At 41.3% G+C, this 12,055-nt stretch overlaps 1 protein-coding gene across 17 annotated transcripts in view; it reads right to left on the minus strand.

Annotated features, from left to right (window-relative positions):
- Positions 1-12,055, minus strand: part of ENOX2 (ecto-NOX disulfide-thiol exchanger 2) — a 280,885-nt gene that overhangs the window by 187,656 nt on the left and 81,174 nt on the right. The gene's annotated exons all lie outside the window — the stretch shown is intronic.

Genomic DNA, 12,055 nt, shown 5'->3' on the forward strand with positions numbered 1-12,055 from the left:
GAAACCAGGTGAGAGATGACAGCACTTTGGTGGAGCTCAGAAATAAGAAATGATACACGGAAGAGTGTAAGACAGACAGTTTTATACTACCCACGTCAATCCCTCTCCCAACCCCATGCAGCACAGTATGGAAAGATACCCTCTGCTTGGTAGAAGAGGAGGGAAGTGAGCACCAGACGTTACCTTGGACCCCAACACCAGGCTGCCTCAGTAAATCCCACTGCTGGGCAGGCTCCCATGGACCCAGACTTTAGGCTGGTACTCACAGACTGAACCTCTAAGCCCACCATGGCATCAGGATAGCTCCCACAGACTCAATATCCAGCCACGACATGTAGACTCAGTCTCCAGGTCCACCGCAGGGCTAGGCCAGCCTCAGTAGCCCCAGACTTCAGACTGCCCCCAGCACCAGGCTGGCCATGATGGCCCTAGGCTTCAGGCCCACCATAGCACCAGGTCAGCCCCCACAGTCCTATTCATCAGGCCAACACTCCTGGATATAGCCTCTAGGACTGCCCAGTGCCAGGCCAGCTCCTGAAGCCTCAGACTCCAGGCCTATTCCAGGCTTCAGACTAACCCACAGCTAAGTAGGCCCATGTAGTCTTAGGTTTCATGCCTGCCCCAATGTCAGGTCAGCACCCTGACCTCAGGCACTAGGCTAGACCCCATGAACATAGGTTTCAGGCCTGCCCAGTGCCAGGCCAAGTCCCTGTGGGCCCACCATCCAGGCCTGTCCCTGTGGCCCACTGCTTCTTCAGCAAACCCATGGTCCAGGCCTGCCCCAACAGACGAAGGGTCCAGGCCTATCCCAGTAGACCCAAGCACTGGGCCAGCCCTGACAGACCCAGGCGTCAGGCCAGCCCCACAGTCCCACGTTGCAAACCATCTCCACTAGCTCCAGGAACCAGGCTGGCCCCTGCACACCTAAGCTCTATGACTGCCCCAGCATCAGACTAGCCTCAGGTTCAAGGCTAGTCTCTGTTACCCAAGGCTTCAGCGGCCTTAGGGACCAGGCCTGCTTCAGAAAACCCAGGGTACTGCCCACCCCAGTAGACCCTGGTTCCAGGACAGCCCCCAATGGACCAAGGCTCTAGAATCACCCCTGCAGACTCAGGCTCTAGGCCAGTCCCTGTGAATTCAGGCTATCTGCCTACATGAGTGGTCGCAGGTACTAGGCTCACCACAGTGCCAGACCAGCCCTCAAGGACTCAGGCTTCAGGCTCATCCCAGTGGACCCAGATGCCAGGCCCATCCCAGCATCTGGCTAGCCCCTGCAGACTCAGGTGCAAGGCCCAGCCCAGCACCAAGCCAGCCCCTGGGACTCAGGCTTTAGGCCAGCCTCCAAGGATACAGTTTCCAGTCCTACCCTAATGGACTTAGGCTCCAGGTTTATTCAAGTAGACTCAATCAACAGATACGCCACAGTGAATCCAGACTCCAGGCTCAACCCCAACCAGCCAGGCACTAGGTCCATCCACCTGCTGACCCAGGCACCAGGCCAGCCTGCTCAAAGACTCCAAGAGCAAGCCTGCCTGTGGATCACACCAAATGGTCTTCCCAGAATCTCTAAATGGACTGACTAGTGAAGGGCTTTTGGAGACGAAGCCAGTTTACAAAACTAGAATAAGCCCATACTTTTTTAAATGTGCAGATACCAATCCAAAAATATCAATAATGATCAAGGAAATACAATCCCACCAAAAGAACAAAATAAAGCTCCAGTAGCCAACTCTAAAGATATAAAGATTTATAATATGTCTGACAAATAAGTCAAATTGTTTTAAGAAAGCTTAGCAAACTTACAAAACATACAGAGAAACAATTCATTGAAATAAAAAAACAATAAATGACCAAAATGAGAAACTAAAACATTTAACAGAGATTGAAATTATTAAACAAACAAACAAACAAACAAATTCTGGAGCTGAAAAATACAATGAATTAAATGAAAAATGCAATACAGAGAGTCAACAGCAGGCTTGATCAGGCAGGAGAATGTGTGAACTTGAAGGCAGGTTATTTGAAAATATACAGTAAGAGGAAAAAAAAGAATGAAAATAAAGGATGCGAGCTCACAGGATTTATGGGGTAGCATCAATAGAGCAAACATTAGTTATAGAAATTAAAGTAGAAGAGAAAGATGACAAAGGGGTATAAAGCTTATTGCTTAAATAAAATAGTAGAAAACTTTCCAAATCTGGGAAAAGATATAAATAACCAGGTAAAAGAAGATCAAAAGTCTCAAATCAGATTCAATCCAAAAAAGACTATACTCAGACATATAATCAAACTGTCAAAAAGCCAAGACAAACAGGGCATCCTGAAAGCAATAAGAGAAAAGAGGCAAATCACATATAAGGGAAATTCAGTAAGGCTAGCAGTGGATTTCTCAGCAGAAACGTTACAGGCCAGGAGAGAGCAGCATAATATATTTAAAGAGTTAAAGAAAAAAGAAACCTAGCAACTAAGAATAAACTTTACACAGCAAAGCTGTCCTTCAAAAATGAGATTCAAAGCATACCACTAAAGGAAATCACTTCATCACAAAAGAAGATGGCAAGAGAGGAAGAAAGGAATAACGGATCTGCAAAACAACCAGAAGACAATGAACAAAATGGCAGTAGTTAATTCTTACTTATCAATAATTACCATGAATGTAAATGAAAGAAATGAACAAGAAACAAATAAATGGAAAGATATCCCATGTTTGTGGATTAAAATAATTAACATTCTTAAAATGTTCATATTACCAAGGCAATCTACAGAGTAAATGCAATCCCTATCAAAATTTCACAGACATTTTTTACAAAAATCGAAAAATCAATCCTGAAATTTGTGCGGAACCACAAAAGACCCCAAATAAAGCATCCTGAGCAAAAAGAACAAAGTTAGGGGCAGCACACTACCTGACTTCAAAATGTACTACAAAGCTATAGTAACTAAAAGAGCATAGGTTGAGTATCCCTAATCTGAAATTCTGAAATCTAAAACACTCCAAAATCCAAAATTTTTTGAGCAGTGACATGACGCTAAAAGAAAATGCTCATTGGAGTATTTCAGATTTCAGATTTTTGAATTACGAACGCTTAACCAGTAGGTATAATGCAAATATTCCAAAATCTGAAAAATCCCCAAATCTGAAACACTTCTGGTCCCAAGCATTTTAGATAAGGGATACTCAACCTACACTGGCATAACAACAGATACATATACCAATGGAACAAAATAGAGAGCTTAGAAATAAATCCATTCCTTTAAAGTCAATTGATTTTCAACAAACGTGCCAAGAACACGCAAGGAGAAAGGACAGTCTCTTCAATAAATGGTGCTGGGAAAACCGTATATGCACATTCAGAAGAATGACATTAAACCTTATCTTACACATATACAAAAATCAATGCAATATGGATTAGGGACTTGAATGTAAGACCTAAAGCTATAACATCACTATAAGAAAATGAAGAAAGGGGGTGGCTGGAAAGATGGCTGAATAGGAACAGCTCTGGTCTGCAGCTCCCAGCAAGATCAATGCAGAAGGTGGGTGATTTCTTCATTTCCAACTGAGGTATCTGGCTCATCTCACTGGGACTGGTTAGACAGTGGGCACAGCCCAAGAAAGGTGGGCTGAAGCAGGGTGGGGCATCACCTCACGCGGGAAGCTCAAGGGGTCAGGGAACCCCCTCCCCTAGCCAAGGGAAGCCATGAGGGACTGTGCCATAAAACGGTGAATTCCGACCCAGATACTATGCTTTTCCCACGGTCTTCACAACCCGCAGACAAAAAGATTCCCTCAGGTGCCTATACCACCAGGGCCCAGGATTTCAAGCATAAAAGTGGGCGGCCGTTTGGGCAGACACCGAACTAGCTGCAGTTTTGTTTTCATACCCCAGTGGCGCCTGGAACGCCAGCAAGACAGAACCGTTTGCTCCCCTGGAAAGGAGGTTGAAGCTAGGGAGCCAAGTGGTCTAGCTCAGTGGATCCCACCCCCATGGAGCCAAGCTAAGATCCACTGGCTTGAAATTCTCGCTGCTAGCACAGCAGTCTGAAGTTGACCTTGGATGCTCGAGCTTGGTGGGGAGAGGGACATCTGCAATTACTGAGACTTGAGTAGGTGGTTTCCCCCTCACACTGTAAACAAAGCCACCAGGAGGTTCGAAGGGGGTGGAGCCCATGGCAGCTCAGCAAAGCCACTGTAGCCAGGCTGCCTCTCTAGCTTCCTCCTCTCTGGGAAAGGCATCTCTGAAAGAAAGGCAGCAGCCCCAGTCAGGGGATTATAGATAAAACTCCCATCTCCCCGGGACAGAGCACCTGCAGGAAGGGGCAGCTATGGGCGCAGCTTCAGCAGACTTAAATGTTCCTGCCTGCTGGCTCTGAAGACAGCAGCAGATCTCCCAGCACAGCTCTCGAGCTCTGCTAAGAGACAGACTGCCTCCTCAAGTGGGTCCCTGACCTCCTTGCCTCCTGACTGGGAGATACCTCCCAGCAGTGGTCGACAGACACTTCATACAGGAGAGCTCCGGCTGGCATCTGGTGGGTGACCCTCTGGGGTGAAGCTTCAAAAGGAAAAAAGAGGCAGCAATCTTTGCTGTTCTGTAGCCTCTGCTGGTGATACTCAGGCAAAAAGGGTCTCGAGTGGACCTCCAGCAAACTCCAGCAGACCTGCAGCAGAGGTTCCTGACTGTTAGAAGGAAAACTAACAAACAGAAAGGAATAGCATCAACATCAACAAAAAGGACCTCCACACAGAAACCCCATCTGATGGTCACCAACATCAAAGATCAAAGGTAGATAAATCCACGAAGATGAGGAAAAACCAGTGCAAAAAGTCTGAAAATTCCAAAAACCAGAACGCCTCTTTTCCTTCAAAGGATCACAACTCCTTGCCAGCAGAGAACAAAACTGGACAGGGAATGAGTTTGATGAATTGACAGAAGTAGGCTTCAGAAGGTGGGTAATAACAAACTCCTCCGAGCTAAAGGAGCATGTTCTAACCCAATGCAAGGAAGCTAAGAACCTTGAAAAAAAGGTTTGAGGAATTGCTAACTAGAATAACCAGTTTAGAGAAGAACATAAATGACCTGATGGAGCTGAAAAACACAGCACGAGAACTTCGTGAAGCATACACAAGTATCAATAGCCGAGTCGATCAAGAGGAAGAAAGGACATCAGAGATCAAAGATCAACTTAATGAAATAAAGCATGAAGACAGATTAGAGAAAAAAGAATGAAAAGGAATGAATAAAGCTTCCAAGAAATATGGGACTATGTGAAAAAGACCAAACCTATGTTTGATTGGTGTACCTGAAAGTGACAGGAACAATGGAACCAAGTTGCAAAACACTCTTCAGGATATTATCCAGGAGAACTTCTCCAACCTAGCAAGACAGGCCAACACTTAAATTCAGGAAATACAGAGAACACCACAAAGATACTCCTCGAGAAGAGCAACCCTAAGACATATAATCATCAGATTCACCAAGGCTGAAATGAAGGAAAAAATGTTAAGGGTAGCCAGAGAGAAACGTCAGGTTACCCAAAAAGGGAAGCCCATCAGACTAACAGCAGATCTCTGCAGAAGCTCTATAAGCCAGAAGAGAGTGAGGGGCAATATTCAACATTTTTAAACAAAAGAATTTTCATCCCAGAATTTCATATCCATCGAAACTAAGCTTCATAAGTGAAGGAGAAATAAAATCCTTTAAAGACAAGCAAATACTGAGAGGTTTGGTCACCACCAGGCCTGCCTTACAAGAGCTCCTGAAGGAAGCACTAAATATGCAAAGGAAAAACAGGTACCAGCCACTGCAAAAACATACCTAATCGTAAAGACCATCAACACTATGAAGACACTGCATCAACTAATGGGCAAAATAACCAGCTAGCATCATCATGACAGGATCAAATTCACACATAACAATATTAACCTTAAATATAAATGGGCTAAATGTCCCAATTAGCAAATTGGGACTGGCAAATTGGATAGAGTCAAGACCCATCGGTGTGCTGTAATCAGGAGACCCATCTCATGTGCAAAGACACACACAGGCTCAAAATAAAGGGATGGAGGAATATTTACCAAGCAAATGGAAAGCAAAACAAAAACAAACAAACAAACAAAAAAAGCAGGGGTTGCAATCCTATTCTCTGATAAAACAGACTTTAAACCAACAAAGACCAAAAAAGACAACGAAGAGCATTACAGTATGGTAAAGGGATCAATGCAACAAGAAGAGCTAACTATCCTAAATATATATGCACCCAATTCAGGAGCACCCAGATTCATAAAGCAAGTTCTTAGATACCTACAAAGAGACTTAGACTCCCACACAATAATAGTGGGAGATTTTAACACCCCACTGTCAATATTAGAGAGATCAATGAGACAGAAAATTAATAAGGATATCCAGGACTTGAACTCAGCTCTGGACCAAGCAGCCCTATTAGACATCTACAGAACTCTCCAGCCCAAATCAACAGAATATACATTCTTCTCAGCACCACATCATACTTATTCTAAAACTGACCACATAATTGGAAGTAAAACACTCCTCAGCAAATGCAAAAGAACAGAAATCATAACAGTCTCTCAGACAACAATGCAATCAAATTAGAACTCAGGATAAAGAAACTCACACAAAACCGCACATTTACATGGAAACTGAACAACCTGCTCCTGAAAGACTACTGGGTAAATAACGAAATTAAGGCAGAAATAAATACGTTCTTTGACACCAGTGAGAACAAAGACACAATGTACTAGAATCTCTGGGACACAGCTAAAGCAGTGTTTAGAGAGAAATTTAGACACTAAATACCCACAGGAGAAAGTGGGAAAGATGTAGAATCGAAACCCTAACATCACAATTAAAAGAACTAAAGCAGCAAGAGCAAACAAATTCAAAAGCTAGCAGAAGACAAGAAATAACTAAGATCAGAGCAGAACTGAAGGAGATAGAGACACAAAAAAACCCTTCAAAAAGAAAATCAATGAATCCAGGAGCTGATTTTTTGAAAAGATTAACAAAATAGATAGACTACTATCCAGGCTAATAAAGAAGAAAGGAGAAAAGAATCAAACAGACACAATAAAACTGATAAAGCGGAGATCACCACTGATCCCACAGAAATACAAACTACCATCAGAGAATAGTATAAACACCTCTACGTAAATAAATTGGAAAATCTGGAACAAATGGATAAATTGCTGAACACATAAACTCTCCCAAGACTAAACCAGGAAGAAGTCAAATCCCTGAATAGACCAATAACAAGTTCTGAAATTGAGGCAGTAATTAATAGCCTACCAACCAAAAAAAGCCCAGAACCAGATGGATTCACAGCCAAATTCTACCAAAGGTACAAAGAGGAGCTGGTACCATTCCTTCTGTAACTATTCCAAACAACAGAAAGAAAGGGACTCCTCCCTAACTCATTTTATGAGGCCAGTATCATCCTGATACCAAAACCTGGCAGAGACACAACAAAAAAAGAAAATTTCAGGCCAATATCCCTGATGAACATTGATGCAAAAATCCTCAATAAAATACTGACCAACCGAATCCAGCAGCACATCAAAAAGCTTACCTACCACGATCAAGTTGGCTTCATCCTTGGGATGCAAGGCTGATTCAATACACGCAAATCAATAAATGTAATCCATCACATAAACGGAACCAATGACAAAAACCACGATTATCTCAATAGATGCAGAAAAGGTCTTCCATGAAATTCAACACCACTTCATGCCAAAAATTATCAATAAACTAGGTATTGATGGAACATATTTCAAAATAGTAAGAGCTATTTATGACAAAACCACAGCCAATATCATACTGAATGGGCAGAAGCTGGAAGCATTCCCTTTGAAAACTGGCACAAGACAAGGATGCCCTCTCTCACCACTTCTATTCAACATAGTATTGGAAGTTCTGGCCAGGGCAATCAGGCAAGAGAAAGAAATAAAGGGTATTCAAATAGGAAGACAGGAAGTCAAATTGTCTCTGTTTGCAGATGACATGATTGTATATTTAGAAAACCCCATCGTCTCAGCCCAAAATCTCCTTAAGCTGATAAGCAACTTCCGCAAGGTCTCAGGATACAAAATTAATGTGCAAAAATCACAAGCATTCCTATACACCAATTATAGACAGCCAAATCATGAGTGAACTCCCATTCACAATTGCTACAAAGAGAATAAAATACCTAGGAATACAACTTACAAGGGACTCTTCAAGGAGAACTACAAACCACTGCTCAAGCAAATAAGAGAGGACATAAAGAAATGGAAAAACATCCCGTGCTCATGGATAGGAGGAATCAATATCATGAAAATGGCCACACTGCCCAAAGTAATTTACAGATTTAATATTATCCCCATCAAGCTACCATTGACTTTCTGCATGGAATTAGAAAAAACTACTTAAAATTTCATATGGAACAAAAAAGAGCCCATATAGCCAAGACAATCCTAAGCAAAAAGAACAAAGCTGGAGGCATCACGCTACCTGACTTCAAACTATACTACAAGGCTACGGTAACCAAAACAGCATGGTACTGGTACCAAAACAGATATACAGACCAATGGAACAGAACAGAGACCTCAGAAATAATGCCACATATCTACAACCATCTGATTGTTGACAAACCTGACAAAAACAAGCAATGGGGAAAGGATTCCCTATTTAATAAATGGTATTGGAAAAACTGGCTAGCCATATGCAGAAAACCGAAACTGGACTCCTTCCTTACACCTAATACAAAAATTAACTCAAGATGGATTAAAGACTTAAACGTAAGACCTAAAACCATAAAAACCCTAGAAGAAAACCTAGGCAATACCATTCATGACTAAAACACTAAAAACAATGGCAACAAAAGCCAAAATTGACAAATGAGATCTGATTAAACTAAAGAGCTTCTGCATAGCAAAAGAAACTACCATCAGAGTGAACAGGCAACCTACAGAATGGGAGAAAAATTTTGCAATCTATCCATCTGACAAAGGGCTAATATCCAGAATCTACAAGGAACTTAAACAAATTTACAAGAATGAAAACAAACAACTCCATCAAAAAGTGGGCAAAGGATATGAACAGGCACTTCTCAAAAGAAGACATTTATGTGGCCAACAAACATATGAAAAAAAGCTCATCATCACCAGTCATTAGAGAAATGCAAATCAAAACCACAATGAGATACCATTTCACACCAGTTAGAATGGCGATCATTAAAAAGTCAGGAAACGAAAGATGCTGGGGAGGATGTGGAGAAACAGGAACGCTTTCACACTGCTGGTGAGTATGTAAATTAGTTCACCTATTGTGGAAGACAGTGTGGCAATTCCTCGAGGACCCAGGACCAGAAATACCATTTGACCCGGCAATCTCATTACTGGGTATATACCCAAAGGATTATAAATCATTCTAATATAAAACACACGCACACGTATGTTTATTGCAGCACTATTGACAATAGCAAAGACTTGGAACCAATCCAAATGCCCATCAATGATAGACTGGATAAAGAAAATGTGGCAAATAAATATCATGGAATACTATGCAGCCATAAAAAAGGATGAGTTCATGTCTTTTGCAGGGACATGGATGAAGCTGGAAAGCATCCTTCTCCGCAAACTAACACAGGAACAGAAAACCAAACACTGCATGTTCTCACTCATAAGTGGGAGTTGAACAATGAGAACACATGGACACAGGGAGGGGAACATCACACACTGGGGCCTGTCAGCGGGTGGGAGGGTAGAGGAGGAGAAATACCTAATGCAGATGACAGGTTGATGGGTGCAGCAAACCACCATGGCACGTGTATACCTATATAACAAACCTGCATGTTCTGCACATGTATCCCAGAACTTAAAGTATAATTAAAAAAGAAAAACAAAACAAAGAAAAAAGGCACCATGACATTGGTCTGGGCAATGATTTTAGGGATAGGACCCCAAAAGCACACAACAAAAACAAAAATAGACAAATAGGATACACATCAATCTAAAAAGCTTCTGCATAGCAAAGGAAACAATAGACTGAAGGGACAACCTACAGAATGGGAGAAAACATTCGCAAACCATTTATCTGATAAGGAATTACTATCCAAAATATGTAAGGAATTCAATTCAATAGCAGGAAAATAACCCGATTTTAAAAATGGACAAAGGACCTGAATAGACATTTCTCAAAAGAAGACATTCTGATAGCCAACAGGTATGTGAAAAGATGCTCAATGTTACTAATTATCAGGGAAATGCAGATAAAACCACAATGAGTTATCACCCCACACCTGACAGAATGGCTATTATCAAAAAGATGAAAGATAACATGTGTTAGTGAGAATCTGGAGAAAAGGGAGTGCTTGCACATTGTTGGTGGTAATATAAATTAGTATAGCCATTATGGAAAAGAGTATGGAGGTTCCTCATAAAATTAAAAATAGAACTACCATATGACCTAGCAATCCCACTTTTAGGTGTCCATCCAAAGGAAATAAATTCAGTATGTCCAAACAGGTATCTACACTTCCATGTTCATTGCAGCACTATTCATTATAGCCAAGATGTGGAATCAACCTAAGTTTCCATCAACAGATGAATAAAGAAAATAAGGAAAATATATACAAAAGAATTCTATTCAGCATTTAAAAGGAAAGAAATCTTGTCATTTGCCAACGACATGGATGAAAGTGGAGAACATTACGTTAAGTGAAATAAGCCAGGCACAGAAAGACAAATACCACATGATCTCACTTATATGTGGAATCTACAAAAATTAAACTCACAGAAGCAGAGTAGAATGGTGGTTACCAGGAAGTGGTTGGGGGATGAGGAGTTGAGGATATTATGGTCAAAGGGTGCAAAATTTCAGTTAGAAAGGAGGACTAAATTCAAGAGATCTATTGTAAAACATGGTGACTACAGTTAATAATAATGTATTCTTGAAAATCACTAAGAGAGTACATTTTAAGTGTTCTCACCACAAAATATGTTAAGTATGTGATGTAACACATATGTTAATTAGCTCAATTTAGTTATTCCACAATTTATGCATATTTCAAAACATCATGTCATTAAATATATACAACTTTTATTTGTTAATTAAAAATAAAATTTTTTTTAAAAAAGAAAAGAAATGACTAATTCTCTGGGGAGGGGTGACCTCTTCAGTAAGTTATGTTTGAGCTCATTCTTAAAGAATAACTGGGTATATACCCAAATGACTATAAATCATGCTGCTATAAAGACACATGCACACGTATGTTTACTGCGGCATTATTCACAATAGCAAAGACTTGGAACCAACCCAAATGTCCAACAATGATAGACTGGATTAAGAAAATGTGGCACATATACACCATGGAATACTATGCAGCCATAAAAAATGATGAGTTCATGTCCTTTGTAGGGACATGGATGAAATTGGAAACCATCATTCTCAGTAAACTATCGCAAGAACAAAAAACCAAACACCGCATATTCTCACTCATAGGTGGGAATTGAACAATGAGATCACAAGGACACAGGAAGGGGAATATCACACTCTGGGGACGGTGGTGGGGTCGGGGGAGGGGGGAGGGATAGCAGTGGGAGATATACCTAATGCTAGATGACGAGTTAGTGGGTGCAGCACACCAGCATGGCACATGTATACATATGTAACTAACCTGCACAATGTGCACATGTACCCTAAAACTTAAAGTATAATAAAAAAAAAAATTAAAAAAAAAATAAATAAATAAAAATAAATAAATAAATTAAAAAAAAAAAAAAAAAAAAAAAAAAAGAATAAGTAGGGCAGGCCAGGCGCAGTGGCTACTGCAGGTAATCCCAGCACTTTGGGAGGCCGAGGCAGGTGGATCACTTAAGTCCAGGGGTTTGAGGCCAGCCTGGGCAAAATGGCAAAACCCCGTTTCTACAAAAAACAAAAAAAATTAGACAGGCTTAGTGGCAAGCATCTGTAGTCCCAGCTACTCAGGCAGCTGAGGCAGGAGGAATTGCTTGAGCTCAGGAGGCAGAGGTTGCAGTGAGCCGAGATCGCACCACTGCACT

The sequence above is a fragment of the Homo sapiens genome, chromosome X (assembly GCF_000001405.40).
Source record: "Homo sapiens chromosome X, GRCh38.p14 Primary Assembly".
In the NCBI taxonomy this organism is placed as follows: domain Eukaryota; kingdom Metazoa; phylum Chordata; class Mammalia; order Primates; family Hominidae; genus Homo; species Homo sapiens.